The 21,041-nt window shown below is 45.6% G+C and overlaps 1 protein-coding gene across 11 annotated transcripts in view, besides 1 other annotated feature; it reads right to left on the bottom strand.

Annotated features, from left to right (window-relative positions):
* The window catches only part of KPNA7 (karyopherin subunit alpha 7), a 73,616-nt gene that overhangs the window by 42,888 nt on the left and 9,687 nt on the right, over positions 1-21,041 (bottom strand). For 7 of the 11 annotated variants that reach the window (XM_017012211.2, XM_011516215.3, XM_017012213.2 and 4 more), the window contains exons 2-6: positions 18,710-18,798; positions 14,415-14,549; positions 7,393-7,475; positions 6,379-6,647; positions 4,328-4,410 (exon numbers count right to left, since the gene is read on the bottom strand). In XM_017012211.2, coding sequence (XP_016867700.1) covers positions 4,328-4,410; positions 6,379-6,647; positions 7,393-7,475; positions 14,415-14,549; positions 18,710-18,798 — 659 coding nt within the window. Of the gene's footprint in view, positions 1-4,327; positions 4,411-6,378; positions 6,648-7,392; positions 7,476-14,414; positions 14,550-18,709; positions 18,799-19,336; positions 19,425-21,041 lie in introns of those variants that run through there. The other 4 variants (NM_001145715.3, XM_017012212.2, XM_017012209.2 and 1 more) reach the window with 3 other exon arrangements.
* Positions 2,015-2,309: a silencer, noted in NCBI's record as "tiled region #10979; K562 Repressive non-DNase unmatched - State 21:Repr". NCBI's record gives its function as "represses a minimal TATA promoter and a strong SV40 promoter by Sharpr-MPRA in K562 cells {active_cell/tissue: K562}" and the evidence as "EXISTENCE:reporter gene assay evidence [ECO:0000049][PMID:27701403]".

A 21,041-nucleotide genomic window follows, 5' to 3' on the forward strand; every position in this document is an offset into this window, starting at 1 on the left:
TATTTTCAGACAGCCTTGCTCTGTCACCCAGGCTGGAGTGCAGTGATGCAATCTTGGCTCACTGCAACCTCTGCCTCCTGGATTCAAGTGATTCTCCTCCCTCAGCCTCCTGAGTAGCTGGGATTACAGGTGCCCGCCACCACACACGCCCAGCTAATTTTTGTATTTTTAGTAGAGATGGGGTTTCACCATGTTGCCCAGACTGGTCTTGAACTCCTGGCCTCAAGTGATCTGCCGGCCTCAGCCTCCCAACGTGCTGGGATTACAGGGGTGAGCCATTGTGCCCGACTGAACGAGAGCTTTTGAACTTCAAATAGAAATGTGTTCTAGGCAGTGATGTGTATTAGGGACACAGAACGAGGTTCGTATTTCACATTCCAATGTTAGATGGAGGTTTCCTTTGTCTTTCAAAATGTCCTTTCCCATTTGATTGATGACCTAATTTCATTTTTCACTGACAACAAGATCAAGCAGGAGTTACTTGGTCTTCCCACTGGTCTAAAACACTACTGGCATGTCATCCCCAGATTTCTAATCTTCTAATTGAGAATCAGTCTTCCTACTCTGCCTCTGGATCCCATCCCTTTTGGCCTTTTATTATTAGTTTTAGTTTTAGTAGAGACAGGGGTCTTGCTATGTTGCCCAGTCTGGACTTCAACTCCTGGGCTCAAGTGATCTGCCTACCTCCACCTCCCAAAGTGATGACAGGCCTGAGTCACCACACCTGGCCCTTACTTTTTGCCTTTAAAGATTCCGCCCAGAATCATCCCTGCCCCCAAATCACTCCCACCAGTAAGGAAACATACCCTGGGACTGTCAGCCCCTCCCCTTCTGCCCCTTTCAGCCATCATCACACTTCTGTCTTTCAGAGTCTACCCTCAGAGAGGCATCTATATTCACTGTCTACCTCCCAGATTCCCAATTGTTGGGGTTTTTTGTTTGTTTGTTGAGACAGGGTCTCACTCTGTTGCCCAGGCTGCAGTGCAGTGCCGTGATCATAGCTCACTACAGCCTCAACCTCCCAGGCCCAAGTGATCCTCCTACTTCTGCCTCCTGAGTAGCTGTGGCTAGACATGCTTTTTGTAGAGGAAAGTCTTGCTATGTTGCCCAGGCTGGTCTCAAACTCCTGGGCTCAAGGGATCCTCCTGCCTCGGCCTCCCAAAATGCTGGGATTACAGACATAAGCGCCTGGCCTCCAGTTGTTCTTCAGGCCATTCTAGTCATGTTTCTAACCCTTCTTTGGGGTTAGGGATGGGAATCAGCTCCTTCCAAGTCACCAAACACAGCAGCTGCTTCTTGGTCCTAAAGTTACTGTCCCTCTCAGCTGTGGTTAGTAGTCAGCCCTTTCTTTTTGAAGGAGCTCTCGGCTGGGCGTGGTGGCTCACACCTGTAACCCCAACACTTTGGGAGGCCGAGGCAGGTGGATCATGAGGTCAGGGGTTCAAGACCAGCCTGGCCAAGATGGTGAAACCCCGTCTCTACTAAAAACACAAAAATTAGCCAGGCGGGGTGGCATGTGCCTGTAATCCCAGCTACTCGGGAGGCTGAAGCAGAAGAATCGCTTGAACCCAGGAGGCGGAGGTTGCAGTGAGCTGAGATTGCACCACTGCACTCCAGCCTGGTGACAGAGCAAGACTCTGTCTCAAAAAAAAAAAAAAGCAGAAAAAAAAGCAGAAAAAAAAGAAAGAGCTCTTCTTGGCAACTGTGACACCAAACCTGGTTTTCTATGGCCAAATTAGCTGTTTCTACTTAGTCTTTTTGGCAGGCTCTGCCTGAATTTAGAACCTTAGAGCCCACAGGACTGGGTCTCAGGCTCTCCTCACACTCTAGGTCAGGGGTTGAAAACTTTTTCGGTAAAGGGCCAGATCTTAAACATTTTTAGCCTGTGGCTTCTGTGGCAACAACAACTGTCCTTGTAGACCAGACAGTATGTAAATGAGTGTGGCTGCATGCCAGTAAAACTTTTTTTTTTTTTTTGGGGGGAGACAGGGTCTCACTCCATCACCCAGGCTGGAGTGCAGTGGTGCAATCACAGCTCACTGCAGCCTCAAACTCAAGCGATCCTCTCGCCTTGCCTTCCCAAGTAGCTGGGACTACAGACACGTGCCACCATGCCCAGCTTGATAAAACTATTTACAAAGCAAGCGGCCAGCCAGGTCATGTTTGTGACCCCTGGCCCCAGCTGACCTTGCCTGGCTGGGTGACATATACACATATGTCACCTAGCAAGGTACATCTGTCAATCCGACTCTGCTGCAATGGTGTCTCCAACTCGCCTCAACTTCATGCCTGCAACACAAGCTCCAATTTCTTTTTTTCCTGCACTTTTCCCCTTTCTCTAGGAAGACAATCATCTGAACAATCTAACCTGAAACCTAGGGGCATCCTGGCTTCTTGCTGTCTCCCTTTCACGTCTAGAATGGCTATGTCCCAGACCCACCTGCTTCACCATCTCCCTCTGCTATACAATTTTTTTTTTTTTTTTGAGATGGAGTCTTGCTCTGTCACCAGGCTGGAGTACAGTGGCACAATCTCGGCTCACTGCAACCTCCACCTCCCAGGTTCAAGAGATTCTCCTGCCTCAGCCTCCTGAGTAGCTGGGAGTACAGGTGCGTGCCACCACACCCAGCTAATTTTTGTAATTTTAGGAGACGGGGTTTCACCGTGTTGGCCAGGATGGTCTTGATCTCTTGACCTCGTGATCTGCCCACCTCGGCCTCCCAAAGTGCTACCGCATCCGGCCTCTCTCTGCTATATAATTCTACGGCAGGCAACCAGAAGGGCCTTTCTGAAAGATCAGACCACTCTACTCCCTTGCCTCAAAATCCTCCAAAGCCTCCCTGCTGCTAGCAGGAAGATGTCTAAGCCCTTTTCCTGCTTGCCATCTTAAGTGTTCTCTACTTAAACTCTCTCGGTCATGGCTAGTCTTTTATTGGTTCAACCATGTCAGATTTTTCTCCCATCTTGAAGAGTTTTGAGACAGAGTCTTGCTCTGTTGCCCAGGCTGGGGCACAGTGGCGCAACCTTGGCTCACTGCAACCTTCGCCTCCCAGGTTCAATCAATTCTCCTGCCTCAGCCTCCCAAGTAGCTGGGACTACAGGAACGTGCCACCATGCCTGGCTAGTTTCTGTATTTTTAGTAGAGATAGGATTTCGCCATATTAGTCAGGCTGGTCTCAAACTCCTGACCTCAGGTGATCCACCCGCCTCAGCTTCCCAAATTGTTGGGATTACAGGTGTGAGCCACGGTTCCCAGATGAAGGTTTTGAACATAGTCCTCTGGCTGCTCTTCATTTTTGTTTGAGGCAAATCGAGAACCCAGTTCCTAAACCAGAAGTCCTCTTCAATCAATAACCACAAATCAACCAACCTTGACTCTAAGCCTCAAAAGAAGAGCCTGTTCCCCATGAACAGAACTGGTGAGACATTAACCCATTTATGCCAGAGGTTGCAAATTTTTTTGTGTGAAAAATCAGACCTTGGTAATGACCATGAGCAGTAGGATATAAATAACTCCCACAGGCTTAGTGTTCCAATAATGGAACACCAGGCATATATGCTAAACTGTGACCCTAGAATGGAGATTTCAGTCATCTATTTTGCAAGATGGCAAGCTTGTAGGCCTCTTCCAATGCCGCAAAGAGAAGGATCAGTGCTACTGGCCCCTAAAGACAGAGCTGAGTCAATCTTTACCTAAAATGATACTCAGTCCTAAGCCTTGCTATTATTAGTTTATTTAGAGACAGAGTCTCAACCTGTCACCCAGGCTGGAGTGCAGTGGTGTGATCTTGGCTCTCTGCAGCCTCCCTCTCCTGGGCTCAAGCAATCCTTCCACCTCAGCCTCCTGAGTAGCTGAGACTACAGGTGTACGCTACCATGCTCAGCTAATTTTTTTATTTTTAGAAGCATGGTCTCACTATGTTGCCCAGGCTGGTTTTGAACTCTTGGTGTCAAGTGATCCTTCTGTCTTGGCCTAGCAAGCACTGGAATCACAGACATGAGCCACCATGCCCAGTCTTGAGCCTTGTTTATGAGGTTCTAAGAGGCCAGGCAGCAGCCACATGATCTAGCATTGGATTTGGAAGTATGTCCCAATTTCCCAACATTAGAATTTGTTACCTAACGAGGTTCTCTCTCATTTAAAGACATCCACTTGGCCTGGTACTGTGGCTCACGTCCATAATCCCAGAACTTTGAGAGGTAGGAGGATTGCTTGAAGCCAGGAGTTCAAGACCAGCCTGGGCAGAATGGTGAGGCTCCATCTCTATTAAGATTATTTTAAAATTTTAATTTAAAAAAAAAAAAAGAGAAAGAAAAAGACACTTACCGGCAGGGTGGGTGAAATCAAGGCTAGGAGATGTGGGATGGCATTGCTTGTGATGACGTTATCTCTGAACTCTGGGCCATCACCTACAAATAGAGCAGAATGTGACATTTAGAGAGAGAACAAAGACAATCCTGAAGTGGGTGACTAATTTTTTAAGAGTGTGCAAAGGGCAAGAGACAAAAACTCATTCCCGGGTTTAGCAAGTAGGTAGTAGAGCCACGTACTAAATTCTGGAAGTCTGGCATGGCTGGTGGGTGGACAGTCCTGATGTAACAGGCAGGCATCACACAGCAGCAACTGCTAGAAGCAGAGCCAGCCAACTCAGCCAAGGTGGGCTGTTGGCATCTCACAGCATGGTTCTCAGGAAGACGAAGGCTGGTCCAGACCAAGTTGTCTTCCCAGAAGACCTTGGCACAGGGCAGTAACTTCCAATGCAACTCAGAACAAAGTCTGGGGATCTGCAGGTGCTGGTGACCAGCCATCAGCTACCTTAGCTAGGATAACAATTTTAGACCCTAGAAGTCTATTTGTATTTGTCAACCATCAAAGGCAAGTCATCACATTGTACCATCCAGTCTTGCCTACTTTACTGCACCAAGCAAAATGAGAGACAACTTCTCTAATAGGCACTTTTTCCTCCTGCAGCCTTTTATTTTTTTTTTTTGGCGGGGGAGGGGGATACAGGATCTCACTCTATTGCCCTGGCTGGAGTGCAGTGGTGCAATCATAGCTCACTGCAGCCTCGACCTCCAGAACTCAAGCAATTGTCCCACCGTAGCCTCCTGAGTAGCTGGGACTATAGGCATACACCACTATGCCTGGTGAATATTTTTATTTTTTGTAGAGATAAGTTCTCACTACATTGCCCAGGCTGGTCTCAAACTCCTGGGCTCAAGCCATCCTCCCACCTCTGCCTCCTAAAGTGCTGAGATTAAAGGCATGAGTCACTACGCCAAGCCTCTGCAAGCTTTTGTTTTCTTTTAGCAGTTATTTTATATTCTGTTTGCTAATTCCAATATGTGGAGTCCTTGGAGGTCTAATCATACTGTTTCTGCTGACTCAGTCACGGGAGTTATTGCTTCTCTGAACTTGAAAATGCTAATAGTCGGCTGATCTTAATTTGTCAAAATCCTGAGGGACCTAATTGAGTTTTCCCTAGAAAGTCACTGGATTGATGTCAGCCAAGAATCTGGGGGCTTCCGACCCTACAGCACTAATTCACTAGACCATGCAGGAAAGAGCATCGATTGCCACATTCAGAAAGGTAGTCTGAGGATTCCACTTTCAGGGAAGGCTTGTTAGCCCAAACCAAGGAGTTTTTTTTTGTTGTTGTTGTTTTGTTTTTGTTTTTGGCACGTTCCCTTAGCAACTTCCACTGAAGGCAGAGTCCTTCTGGGGTCCCGAGTTATGTAAGGGTCTATCATAAACTCCCACACTGCATAAGCCAAAGACTTGTTCTTGAAGCCACGAAGCCCTGAGGCTGTAGGACCTTAGTGTTGGCAGATGTCTCTAGTTAGCCTGTGGCTTCAGTATACACTGTATCATCCTGTTTCAGCTTCAATATTTGGCCTCTAAACTTGGATTTGAGGGCTTTTGGTGTTTTGAGACAGAATCTCCCTCTGTTGCCCACACTGGAGTACAGTGGCGTTATCTTGGTTCACTGCAACTTCCTCCTCCCAGGTTCAAGCGATTCTCCTGCCTCAGCCTCCCGAGTAGCTGGGACTACAGGGCATGCACCACCATGCCTGGCTAATTTTTGTATATTTAGTAGAGACGGGGTTTCACCATGTTGGCCAGGCTGGTCTTGAACTCCTGACCTCAAGTGATCCGTCCGCCTTGGCCTCCCAACATGCTGGGATTACAGACGTGAGCCACCGTGCCTGGCCTGGCTTTGAGTTTGGAAACAGCTCATTGTACCCTTGCCAGCACTTCTAGGTATTTACATGGCAAAGTGTTCTGGGACATCGAGTATACCCCACCACCCAAAGAAACCTTATAGTATCCCACACACCTGGCCCCGTTTTCTTAGCCCACTAAGGGGAGAGTCTCACCGGCTATATTACCAAGAGCCCACACTGCCTGTTCACACACAGCCACGTTGGAGGAAGACAGGAGCTCAATCAAGGGCTGGATGGCTCCCCCTTCTACCACGGCACGAGTCTGCTCCGAAGTCCCTGAAGCGATGTTGGTCAGGGCCCAGGCAGCCTCAAACTGCAAGCAGGGGTAAAGTGATGACTTCAGGAACTCCACCATCCTGGGAATGAGGCCCGCTTCAATGACCAGTTTCAGAGGGGGGTTCTTTTCCTGGGATAGCATTTTCCTATGCAATGAAAGAGAGGGCAGGGGAGGGGGAGGTCAAGTGAGAGAGGTATTAAGGACCTCCTTTTAGGCCAGGTGCGGTGGCTCACACCTGTAATCTCAGCACTTTGGGAGACCAAGGCGGGCAGATCACTTGAGGTCGCAAGGTCAGGAGTTCGAGACCAGCCTGGCCAACATGGTGAAACCCCGTCCCATCTCTACTAAGAATATAAAAATTAGCTGGGTGTGGTGGTGCACACCTGTAATCTCAGCTTCTCTGGAGGCTTGAGGCAGGAGAATCACTTGAACCCAGTAGGCGGAGGTTGCAGTGAGCTAAGATCATACCATTGCACTCCAGCCTGGGTGACAGAGTGAGACTCCATCTCAAAAGAGAAAAAAAGAACCTCCTTTTATACATAAGCCACATAGCTGGGCCGGAGCTACTTAAGATCCTAGTGTTCAACCGATAGCATTTTTCGGTATTAAATCAACATTTTCCCCTTTAAGGTGTTATCTACAAGATGAAATTTCTGTAGAGGCCAATGTAAATTAAGCAATTCATCTCTGACAACACATCGAAGCTTTTAAATTGCCCTCAAGGACAGTGTAGAATAGCAATTTCGTCTTTTAGATGGGCTAGCCTTTTCCTGTGTTTTACGGGCATGTTGCCAATGCCAAGAAACCAAATAGGCCACCGGCGCTCCAGCCATCACTGACGCTCATTGCTAACTATGAACCTGCAACAGCAGAAGTCTGTTTGGAGATACCTGGCTGTCTGGGTGGCCTGGAAACATAGGACTGGATCTGAGCTATTCACACCTTTGATTATTTCACCCAGAGTGAGGCTGACCTGCAAGAAGAGACACATTCAGGTCAGACTGTCTGCCAAAATGAGCTGTAAACATCACCTACTCTAGCCATCATCCATCTGATTAAAACAGCCTGGCTTGAACAGGATGTCCCATCTTGCATGCTGTTCTATATTTGGGGAGGGGAGAATATAGTCCACAGATCTCACAGATCTGTGTGTTCCTTCCCATGCTTAGGGGAGAAGTAATTCCTATCATTAGTTGGATCCCAAGAACATTTTTATCCCGTGCAGTAAGAATGTGCTAGTGGATACAAAACAAAATGGCAGACTAAGGACATCCAAAAAATTCTCTCCTCCACATAGGCAAAGAGAAAACTGACAAAAATAGAATCAACTTTTTCAGCACTGTAGAAATTGACCAAAGGCTTGCGGCCAATTGTTTTATTCAAGCCAGGAAGTGTTTATCCAAGAAAGACAGCTGAATCTCAGTAAGTAGCATGAGAGCTTTGTGGCATTTTGACTTGCCCTATTCCCACCCACCCTCAGCTCCATGGTAACCCTGAAAACCAACAGTCCACAATCATTGTGAAAAACCAACAGCCTCCCAACCACCAGAAGAGGCAAAATAGGTAGGTCCTCCTTTGGAGCCTCATTCCCAGAAAATTATTATTTGATCTGTCTGGTCATTCCCTGAAAGATCCCACTTACAGACTATTTTGACTCAGAGCTTAGTCAGTATGAAAAGGCTTTTCCCTAAGAATGTTCATTGAAAACAGAGGAAGTTGTTTAACTTCACAGCTACCTGAGAGGTTGAATAAGAGTTGGGATAAACAACAGGCTAACAAAAAAACTTGAAAGGGAATGTCATGTATAGGGCTATGCATATGCTTAAAAACAACAACAACAACAACAACAACAACAACAAAACTAAGACCCTCAGCTCTTCCCTCTCACTGACTTTGAAGCTCTGTGCAAACAGGAAGTGAAGGCTTACGTCAGAATTGTCAACTGCCTGGCTGAGTGGTGAACGCATGCCCCCAACACAGAGCTTCTTGGCAAAAATTGAGTGTTCTTTTCTTCGTGGTTCGAAGTGTTAAAATAAGTCTCTAATTATTAGTTGACCACTGAGCAAACCAAGCAGACACTGCAGCAGCCACACATCACAAAAAAATACAGATTTTAGATAATTAGCTCAAACTACTAAACGAGCACACCCAGCAACAACAGCAAACCCTGGGGCAATGGAAAATCTGATTTCTAGAGTTGTCACACTATTTTAAATGACTAGTTTTCAACAAAGATTGTGAGACAAGCAAAGAAAGTGTGACACACACATATACATATATATGTGAAAAAAGCAATCAATAGCAATAGTCCCTGAGGAGACCAGATGTTGAACTAGACAAAGATTTTAAATATAGTCAAAGAACTAAACCATGACTAAAGAACTAAAGTGCAACAATGCTGTCACACTAAATAGAGAATATCAGTGAACAGATATCAGTTATTGGAAGGAGCCAGATACAAATTCTGGAATTGGAGAATACAATAACTGAAACAAAAATTCACTAAAGGGGCTTAACAGCAGATTTAAGCAGACATAATAAAGCAGCAGTGAAGCTGAAGATAGGTTAATTGGAATTATCCAGTCTGAGGAAGATAACACACACAAGAGAGACTGAAGATGAAAATTGACAGATCTTTAGAGATCTGTGGGACATCATCAAGGATACCAACAAATGCAGAATAGGAAGGAGAAGAGGGAAAGAGGCAGAAAGTATATTTAAAGAGATAATGGCCAAAGAAATTCCCAAATCCAATAGAATAATTAGTCTACACATCTGAAAAGTTCAATGAGCTCCAAACGGAATAAATCCCAAGATCCAGACATATTATAATCTAACTGTTGAAAGCCAAAACTACAGAATCAAAAACATTGAAACCAGCAAAAGAGAAGCAATTCATGTACAAAGCCTCAATAAGATTAACAGCTGATTTCTTATCAGAAAGCATCAAGGCCAAAAAGCTGAGGTGCAGTGAGCCAAGATTGCAGCATTGCACTCCAGCCTGGGTGATAAGAGTAAAACTCCATCTCAAAAAAAACAACAACAAAAAAACTTTACCAACTTTACAAAAAAAAATTCTCACTCATTCTTAGAGGCTAGTATTACTCTGATACCAAACCAAGGATATTACAAGAAAAGTATAAGCTAATATCCCTTATAACTACTGATGCAAAAATTCAACAAAATAGGAGGAAACCAAATGCCTAAACGTATGAAACATATGGTCAACATATTGGTCATCATGATGAATTAGGATTTAACTCAGGAATTCAGGAGTGGTTTAACATGTGAAAAAAAATCAACATAGTACCCCGTATTAATAAAGGGGGGGGAACCCACATGATCATCTCAATGCAGAAAAAACATTTAATGAAATTCAACATACTTCCATAATAAAAAAAAACACTCAACAAACTGGAATAAAAGGAAACTTCTTCATTCTGATAAAGGCATCTACAAAAAACTCAGAGGTAGCCTCATACTTAATGGTGAAAGTCTAAAAGATTTCCCCCAAGATCAGGAATAAGACAAGGATATTGCTCTTTTCACTTTTATCCAACATGGCATTGGAAGTTCTAGATGCATTAATTAGGCAACAAATAAAGTGCACCCAGATTGGAAAGGAAGAAATAAAACTATTTGCAAGTGACTTAATCTTATATGTAGAAAATCCTAAGGAATTTACACCAAAAGCCTAGAGCTAATAAAATTCAGCTAGGTTGCAGAATTGATATACAAAAATTAATTGTATCTTTACATGCTAGCAGTGATCAAAAATCAAAATAAAGCAATTTAATTTACAACATAAAAAGAATAAAATGCTTAGTAATAAATTTATTGAAAGAAATCCAAGAGTTATATGCTGCAAACTGAAAAAAAAAAAAAAAAAAAAAAAGGACTGAAATGAAAAGGTATCCCATGTTCATGGACTGGAAGACTTAACATTGTTAAGATGGCAATACTCCAACCTTATAAATTCAATGACTCCATTCTATAGGTTCAATGCAATCTCCATGAAAATCGGAGCTGCCCTTATTGTAGAAATTGACAATCTGATTTTAAAATTCATATGGAAATACAAAGGGTCCAGAATAGCCAAAATTATATTGAAAAAAAGAACAAAGCTGGAAGACTCACTTCCCAATTTCGAAACTTACCACAAAGCTACAGTAATCAAACCTTTGTTTGATGACAAAGATAAACGTATAGATCAATGGAAGAGAACTGAGAGTCCACAAATGAACCCTCACATTCACGGTCAATTGATTTTTTTGACAAAGGTACCAAGACAATTCAATGGGTAGAAAATAGTCTCAAATAACTGTGCTGGTACAACTATGTATCACATGCAAAAGCACAAAGTTGGACTCCCATTCTCACCATTTACAAAAATTAACTCCAAACGGCTCAAAGGCCTAAAAGTAAGAGCTAAAATTATGAACTCTTAGAAAGAAATATAGGCACAAATCTTTGTGACCTTAGATTAGGCAATGAATTTTTAGATATGATACCTAAAACACAAACAACCAAGAAAATAAACTAGACTTCTTCAAAATTAAAAAATTTTATGCTTCCAAGGATACTATCAAGAAAGTGAAAAGACAACCCACAGAACAGAATATATTTGCAAGTCATATCTGCTAAGGTTTAATATCTAGAATATATAAAGAATTCTTACAACTCAATAAAAAATAATTTATTTGACTTAAAAATGGACAAAGGGCTGGAATTTTTTTTTTGGTGGGGGGACACAGTCTCGCTCTCTTACTCAGGCTGGAGTGCAGTGGCACAATCTCAGCTCACTGCTCAAGCTATTCTCCTGCTTCAGCCTTCCTAATAGCTGGGACTACAGGTGCATGCCACCACACCCAGCTAATTTTTATGTTTTTAGTAGAGACAGGGTTTCACCATGTTGGCCAGGATGGTCTTGAACTCCTGACCTCAAGTGATCCATCCGCCTCAGCCTCCTAATATGCTGGGATTATAGGCATGAGCCATCAGGCCTGGCTAATTTTCGTATTTTTCGTAGAGACGCGGTTTCACCATGTTGGCCAGGCTGGTCTCGAACTCCTCAGCTCAAGTGATCCTCCTGCCTCAGCCTCCCAATGTGTTGGGATTACAGGCATGAGCCACCATGCCCGGCATCTGCTTTTGTCATCACATTGCTCTTCTTATAAGAATCATCGAATGCCAGGCCCACCCAGATAATCCAGTATCACCTCTCTATCTCAAAATCCTTAATTTAATCACATATGCTACATCCCTTTCCTCATAGAGTAATATTCACAGGTTTGGGGACTAGAAGATGCAGACACTTGGGGTGCCACGATACAGCCTACCACAAAGAGTGAAACAGGCTTAGTTCATAACCCAGTTATTCTCAGTGGAACTGAAGACACCCTTCCACACAAAAACTTGTACACAGATGTTAATAACAGCATTCATCATAACAACCAAAAAGTGGAAACAACCCAAAGTCCCCCAATTAATAAATAAACAAGGCCAGACACGGTGGCTCACACCTGTAATCCCAGCACTTTAGGAGGCCAAGGCAGGCAAATTGCTTGAGGTCAGGAGTTCGAGACCAGCCTGAACAACATGGTGAAACCCCATCTCTACTAAAATATAAAATTAGCAGGTGATGCATGCCTGTAATCCTAGCTACTCGGGAGGCTGAGGCAGGAGAATGGCTTGATCCCGGGAGACAAAAGTTGCAGTGAGCCGAGATTGTGCCATTGCATTCCAGCCTGGGTGACAGAGTGAGACTCCATCTTATAAACAAATAAATGGATAAACAAAATGTGGTCTCTCCATATAACAGATTATCATTCTGCCCAAAAGGAATGAAGTATTGATATATGCTACAACATGGATGAACTTTGAAAACATAAAAGCTCAACACAAAAGCTCACATGTTTATATGATTGCATTTCTAGGGAATGTCTAGAACAGGTCATTCCAGAGAGGCAGAAAGTAGACTAGTGTTTGCAGAGACGGTGGGGGATGAGGAATGGGGAGTGACTCCTGAATGACTGGAGTTTCTATTTGAGGTGATGAATAGGTTCTGGAATTAGCTAGTGGCAATGGTTGCACAACTTTGTGACTATGCTAGAAACCACTGATTAGGCACTTAAAGAGTGAATTTTGATGTGAATTATACCTTCATTTCTTTAAAAAATATGCTAATATGCCAAGCACAGTGGCTCATGCCTGTAAACCCAGCACTTCGGGAGGCTGAGGCAGACAGATCACAAGGTCAGGAGGTTGAGACCATTCGGGCTAACATGGTAAAAAACCGTCTCTACTAAAAATACAAAAAATTAGTTGGGTGTGGTGGTGGGCACCTGTAGTCCTAGCTACTCGGGAGGCTGAGGCAGAAGAATTGCTTGAACCCAGGAGGCGGAAGTTGCGGTGAGCCAAGATCGTGCCACTGCACTCCAGCCTGGGCGACAGAGTGAGACTCTGTCTCAAAAAAAAAAAGCTAATATGGGACCAAAAGAAAAACAACTTTTTGGGGTTGTTTGTTGGAGTGAGATGGAGTCTCACTCTGTCACCCATGGGTTGAAGTGCAGTGGCACGATCTTGACTTAGTGCCACCTCTGCCTCCCAGGTTCAAGCAACTCTCCTGCTCAGCCTCCTGAGTAGCTGGGATTACAGGCACCCACTACCACACCCGGCTAATTTTTGTATTCTTAGTAGAGATGGGGTTTCACCATGTTGGCCAGGCTGGTCTCGAACTCCTGACCTCAGGTGATCCACCCACCTCGGCCTCCCAAAGTGCTAGGACTACAGGTGTGAACCACTGTGCTTGGCCTTTTTTCCCTTTTGTTTTATACCATCCTTGGATGGGGGGATTCTAGGGACTGCTCCAAACAAATGAAGCTAACTAGAGATATAGTTTGGACTCCTATGGCAACTCAGAATGACTGTACACATTTCATTGATGAATGGGAACACATCATTGGACCCAATTTGACAAAAATGGAACCAGTCTCTGCCCTCTATGAGACCTAAACCAAGCAGGGTAAAAAGGGTGCATGTGGGTAGTTAAGGTAGGACAGACAGTGGTGTACCCCAAAAGAATATAGAGACACCATTATTGAGGTGCTAAGAAGGAAAACTTCCTGGTCAAGGCATTCGGTATTCACAGAAACCGGACTAACCTTGAAGTCAACCCAGGATCTGCATTTAATAAGGTTGGGGTAGATGGAGAAGGGAAGACAGGACAGAAGTCAAAGTGTTAGGAAAGACCTCACCCATCCAGGGACTAGATGCCTCTACTGAGAAATAACCTTCACCAACCCTCATTTCCTCGGTTTTCAGGCTTAGGGATAGCAAGTAAATTTTCAATTAGAAATATCACCTTTTTGGCCAGGTACAGGGGCTCACACCTGTAATCCCAGCACTTTGGGAGTCTGAGACAGGCAGGTCACCTGAGTCCAGGGGTTCGAGACCCTCCTGGTAAACATGGCAAAATCCTGTCTCTATAAAAAAATAAAAAATTCACCAGGCATGATGGTGAGTGCCTGTAGTCCCACATACTCTGGAAGCTGAGGCAGGAGGTTCGCTTGAACCCAGGGAGATTAGGGCTGCAATGAGCTCTGATTGTGCCACAGCACTCTATCCTGGGTGACAGAGTGAGACCTGTCTCAAAAAATAAAAATAAAAAGTATAATAAAAATCCTCTCCATCCCCCACTAGAATCTAGATTCCACAGACTCAGAGCCATAGGAGTAATGGCCATTAGCCTTTTGACAAAGGCAGTTTAGCTCAAACCATAATCTCTTCACTCCTTTCTTTAAAAGCCCAAAACGAGAGTTTGCAAGTTCTGAATCTATTAAATATTATCCAGCCAGAGACACTTGCTAAGAACATATTTTGCCCAAGACTACTCTAAACACTACATACTGACCGCCACCCCTTTGGCTGTTTTTTCAGAAGGTGTGTCAGGGCAGAAGCTCGTGATATTCCTTCTCTTTAAGGTCTGTTCATCTTTCTTGGCCTTTCGGAGCTCCAGACTGACCGCCATCCTCTGCTGTCGCCTCAGCTAGTGAGGAAAAGAAATTGGAGCATTTAGAACCAGGAGTGGGGATGTCACATTTAGTCTGTCAAACATGTTTCAAAGCATCCAATTTCATTTTTACAGATACAATAGGCTGGAAAAGTTCAGATCACACAGTTAGTAAATCATCTCAGCTCTGTTTACCTCCTCTTCTGTTTTCTGCTATACCACTTCTAGAAAATAATTTGATCTTCCCTCCAAAATAAAGCAAGACCATGCACAACCTTGACAGGTCAGGATTCTCAGCTATAAAAACACCCCAGCAAAGCATCCCATTGCCCTAAGTCTGAACACATCTTCATTGATGCTGATGATTTCCTGAAGAATATGGCTGCTTCCTGAATGTACCCAGGCCTTTTCGGTGGTGGCTAGGATAGATGGTGTTGGGGACGATTAGGGGACTGCCCATGTCCTAGATGCCCTGATCATTTCCACTATATTTATATATATATTTATATATTTGTTTTCTTTTTGAGATGGAGTCTCACTCTGTCACCCAGGCTGGAGGGCAGTGGCATGATCTCAGCCCACTACAACCTCTGCCTCTGGGGTTCAAGCCATTCTTGTGCCTCAGCCTCCCAAGTAGCTGGGATTACAGGCATGTGTCACCACACTCGGCTATGTTTTATATTTTTAGTAGAGATGGGGTTTCTCCATGTTGGCCAGGCTGCTCTTGAATTCCTAGGCTCAAGTGATCTACCTGCCTCAGTCTCCCAAAGTGCTGAGAATACAGGCTGAGCAACTGTGCATGGCCCATTTCCACTATTAATGAAACCTGTCTATAAGCCATTAAAGCCTTCATCCCCAAGTCTACATACTGAGGGAAATCAAAATTAAAACAAGGCTGGGCATGGTATCTCGTGCCTATAATCCCAGCACTTTGGGAGGTCAAGGTGGGAGGATCATTGAGGCCAGGAATTCTAGACCAGCCTGGACAACATAGCAAGACCCTGTTTCTACCAAAAAATTAGCTGGGCATGGTAGCATGCTCCTGTAGTCCCAGCTACTTGGGAGTCTGAGGTGGGAGGATCCCTTGAGCCAGGGAGGTCTAGGCTGCAGTGAGCTACGATTGTACCACTGCACTCCAGCCTGGGCAATAGAGCAAGACCCTGCCTCTACAAATCTCTCTCTCTCTCAATCTCTCTCTCCCCTCCCCGATCTTATGTCAGTTAATGACTCAAACTTTATAGTATTAAGAATCCTGAGGAAATGACCTAACCTTTCTAAATAGCTGAGTTTGGGCTGAAGACATTTCAGGAACAATTATAAAGAAGTCACCATGTATTAGATACTTTTGGTTCTTTAAGCTACTTAATTCTTGCTTGAAAATGGGTCATCAGCCGGGCACCGTGGCTCCCACCTGCAATCTCAGCACTTTGGGACACCAAGGCAGGAGGATTGCTTGAGCTCAGGAGTTCAAGACCAGCCCGGCCAACATAGTGAGACCCTGTCTCTACAAAGAAATAAAAAATTAGCCAGGCATGGTGCTACTTGGGAGGCTGAGGTGGGAGGATCACTTGAGCCTGGGAGGCAGAGGCTGCAGTGAACTATGATCGTGCCACTGCACTCCAGCCTGGATGACAGAGCAAGACCGTGTATCAAATAATAATAAAAGGAAAAAATTTAAAAGGGTCATGGTGGCATTATATGGCAAGGTAGGAACACATTTGGGAATCATTGAGCCCATCATACTGTTGCCCCATCGCTAGGCAGTTCCTGCCTGTAAAAACTTTTGTACCTTTCTCTCTTCTCTTTGGCAGGCCCTTCCTGTTGCTGTGAAGACTCAATTCCTTCGTTCTCACTGATTTCCTTTAATTTTCAGTGGTCCTAGAAGCCGGACAGCTTCATTGTTGGAATAGGTTACTGTAAGAGTGATTTGGTTCCTGGGCCAGGCACGGTGGCTCATGCCTGTAATCCCAGCACTTTGGGAGGCCGAGGCAGGGGGATCATGAGGTCAGAAGATCGAGACCATCCTGGCCAACATGTTGAAACCCCATCTCTACCAAAATGCAAAAAAAAAAATTAGCCGGGCATGGTGGTACACACCATGGTAGGCTGAGGCAGGAGAATTGCTTGAACCCAGGAGGCAGAGGTTGCAGTGAGCCAAGATCACGCCATTGCACTCCAGCCTGGTGACAGAGCAAGACTCCATCTCAAAAAAAAAAAAAAAAAAAAAAAAAGTGATTTTGTTCCTGATGGTGGCCTAACCAGGCTGCTGTGACCCTGTGCTTCCCTCGTTCTCCTAATCAGGCTTCTGGATTCCCAAGGTGGAGCTAAACTTATACGATGCCAGTCAAGATACAGAGATGGGGGGCTGGGAGCAGTGGCTCATGCCAGTAATCCCAGCACTTTGGGAGGCCAAGACAGGCAGATCACTTGAGGCCAGGAGTTTGAGACCAGCCTGGCCAACATGGCAAAACCCTGTCTCCACTAAAAATACAAAAAATTAGCCAGGCGTAATTGTGCACACCTGTAATCCCAGCTACTTGGGAGGCTGAGGCAGGAGAATCGCTTGAACCTGGGAGGCAGAGGTTGCAGTGAGCCAAGATCACACTGCTGCACTCCAGCCTGGACTATGAAGCAAGTCTTCATCTCAAAAATAAAAAGATACAGAGATGGAGGACAGAGCTTGCAACACAAAACTATGTGACCAAAGAAGCCGAGTGAATGTTAGAATCCATATACACAGCACACACCCCCCGTCCCCAGCCCTTGGGCTCAACCTGGAAGCAAGAACAGCCTGGACTTCTCAGTTCCAAGTCCTATTTCTACAAGGCATGCCTGTTGGCCATACCTATATGCTAACGTTTTAGCTCCTTGGTAAGCCTCATTGACGTGAGCAGCTGTAAACACCTGTATACTGGCCCTTGAGGAAGCAATCCAGCTCCTCGGAGATAAATAGCAGCCTGGTTTTTTATTTTTTTCAGACGAAGTCTCACACTGTCGCCTGGATGGAGTGCAGTGGCACAATCTCGACTCACTGCAACCTCCACCTCCCAGGTTCAAGCAGTTCTCCTGCTTCAGCCTCCCAAGTAGCTGGGATTACAGGCCCCCGCCACCATGCACATCTAATTTTTTGTATTCTTAGTACAGACAGGGTTTCACCATGTTGGCCAGGCTGGTCTCGAACTCCTGACCTCAAGTGATCACTTTGGCCTCCCAAAGTGCTGGAATTACAGGTGTGAGCCATCATGCCCAGCCCAGCCTGGTTTTTTATTTGGTTTTGTTTTAGAGACAGGGTCTGGCTCTGTCACCCAGATTGGAGTGCAGTGGCACAATCACAGTTCACTGCAGCCTTGAACTCCTGGGCTCAAGCAATCCTCCTGCCTCAGCCACCAGAGTATCTGAGACTACAGGCACACACCACCACACCTGGCCGATTTTTTGTTTTTGTAGAGTTGGAGGTCTTGGTATGTTACCCAGGCTGGTCTAGAACTCCTATCTTCAAGCGATCCTCCCACCTTGGCCTCCCCCAAAGTACTGGGAACACAGGCATGAGCTACCATGCCCAGCTAAGCAGCCCTGTTTTATGGATGAAGAAACTGGGGTTCTGAAATTAAATAATTGCAAGATTCCACGGAAACTTTGATTTGATTCCACAGTTGTCTGGCTCCTAAGTCCACATGCTTTTGTCTTCTCCACCTTTAATATTTTATGATGAAAATAGCAAACATACAGAAAAGTTGGAAGGATAATTCAGGGAAACACCTAGTCATCTATCTAAAGAATCTTTTGCTATATTTGCCTTTTCAACCCATCTCTCCACCACCTCCCTGCCCCCCGCTATTTTTTTTTTGAGATGGAGTTTCTCTCTTGTCGCCCAGGCTGGAGTGCAGTGGCCTGATCTCAGCTCACTGCAACCTCTGCCTCCCAGGTTCAAGCAATTCTCCTGCCTCAGCCTCCCAAGTAGCTGGGATTACAAGTACAAGCCACCACACCCAGGTCATTTTTGTATTTTTAGTAGAGACGGGGTTACACCATGTTGGCCAGGATCGTCTTAACCTCCTGACCTTGTGATCTGCCCGTCTCAGCCTCTCAAAGTGTTGGGATTACAGGCATGAGCCACCGCGCCTGGTCTCTTCACCCCGCTTTTTATGCAGATTGCACTGGTCCCCAATAGAAGCAGGTGGGTGCTTCATACTCACAGACACATCTTTGCCTCGGTACTTAAATTTTCTCCGCCTCTCTTCTGGAGCATCTAAGGTCGGCATATTGACTGGAAGTAGTAAGTTACCTGCAGGTTGGACAGCAACAAAGAAATTTTCAGTGCCCATTGTGTGGGTTATTATGTCAGTATCATAAGGCTCTAACCCTTAAAGGGCTCACAGTGGAGCAAAGGGCAGACCCAGGAAGCTAGCTTTTTTTTTTTTTTTTTTTTTTTTTTTTTTTTTTTTTTTTGAGACAGAGTCTCGCTCTGTTGCCCAGACTTGAGTGCAGTGGGGGGATATCAGTTCACTGCAACCTCCGCCTCCCGGGTTCAAGTGGTTCTCCTGCCTCAGCCTCCCAGGTAGCTGGGACTATAGGCGCCTGCCACCACGCCCGGCTAATTTTTGTCTTTTTAGTAGAGACGGGGTTTCACCACGTTGGCCAGGCTGGTCTTGAACTCCTGACCTTGTGATCCGCCCACCTCGGCCTCCCAAAGTGCTGGGATTACAGGCATGAGCCACCGCTCCCAGCCAGCATTTTTTATTTTTTGGGACCAGAGAAGCTGAGTGAGAGTTAGAACCCATATACACAGCACAGACTCCCCGTCCCCAACCCTTGGGCTCAACCTGGCAGCAAGAACAACAGTCTGGACTTCTCAGCTCCATGTCCTATTTCTGCAAGACCTGCTTGTTGGCATCAGAGTCTCACTCTGTCACCCGGGCTGGAGTGCATTGGCACAATCACGGCTCACTGCAACCTTGACCTCCTGGACTCAAGTGATTCACCCACCTCAGCCTCTTGAGTAGCTGGGACTACAGGCATGAGCCACCACACATGACTCACTTTTTATTTATTTTATTTATTTATTTTTTGAGACAGAGTCTCACTCTGTCACCCAGGCTGGAGTGCGGTGGCGCAATCTTGGCTCACTGCAAGCTCCGCCTCCCGGGTTCACGCCATTCTCCTACCTCAGCCTCCCGAGTAGCTGGGACTACAGGCACCTGCCACCACGCTCAGCAAATTTTTTTGTATTTTTAGTAGAGACGGGGTTTCACCGTGTTAGCCAGGATGGTCTCTATCTCCTGACCTCGTGATCCACCCACCTCGGCCTCCCAAAGTGCTGGGATTACAGGCGTGAGCCACCGTGCCCGGCCACACCTGGCTTATTTTTGGTTTTGTTTGTTTTTGTAGAGTCGGCTTTTCACCACGTTGGCCAGGCTGGTCTTGAACTCCTGACCTTGTGATCCACCCACCTCAGCCTCCCAAAGTGCTGGGATTACAGGCATGAACCTGAAGTCAGCTTCTATAAGCATCACCACACCAGCTCAGTAGGCTGTGAACACTGTGGGAGCACCAAGACCACCAATGCTGGGCATAGCAGTAAAGGAAAGCTTTTAAAAGTGCTTTGGCTTCAACTGGGTCCTCAAATGAGGCAGATGGGCTGGTTGTCATATATAGAAGCCTTTCATGCCAGGTGCAGTGGCTCACACCTATAATCCCAGCACTTTGGAAGGCTGAGGCAGATGGATCACTTGAGGCCAGGAGTTCGAGATCAGCCTGGGCAACATGGGGAAACCCCATCTCTACTAGAAATACAAAAATTAGTCAGGCATGGTGGCGGACACCTATAATTCCAGCTATTTGGGAGGCTGAAGCAGGAGGATCACTTGAATCCGGGAGGCGGAGGTTGCAGTGAGCTGAGATTGCGCCACTGTACTCGAGCCTGGGCAACAGAGTAAGATTCCGTCTCAAAAAGAAAAAGAAAAGAAGGCTTTCACACGGTGTGTCTGAGGAGTTATAAATCAGGCATATGTACAGGGTGGTGAGGAGACCCGCCAAGGCTGCAACAGGAAAACCCCACACCCAATGCACCAGCACATGGGGTCAGGACAGTCTCAAGCACAAGTCACTGAGAATCCTTCAGTAGACTGCCTCCACCCCAGTCCAGACCACTATCACCTCTTACCCACACTACTGCAGTTGCCTTCCAGCTGGTCTCCCTGCTTCTCCCATTGCCTTATTCCAATCTGTTCTTTGCACAGAGTACATGTGATTGTGGATCACCTGAGGTCAGGAGTTCGAGACCAGCCAGACCAACATGGCGAAACCCTGTCTCTACTAAAAGTACAAAATTAGCCAGGCGTAGTGGCAGGCACCTGTAGTCCCAGCTACTCAGGAGGCTGAGACAGGAGAATCGCTTGAACCCAGGGGGCGGAGGTTGCCGTGAGCCAAGATCGCACCACTACACTCCAGCCTGGGCAACAGAGCGAGACTCCAACTCAAAAAAAAAAAAAAAAAAAAAAAAAAAAGAAAAAAATCTGATTAGTCAGG

The sequence above is a fragment of the Homo sapiens genome, chromosome 7, assembly GCF_000001405.40.
Source record: "Homo sapiens chromosome 7, GRCh38.p14 Primary Assembly".
Classification (NCBI taxonomy): Eukaryota; Metazoa; Chordata; class Mammalia; order Primates; family Hominidae; genus Homo; species Homo sapiens.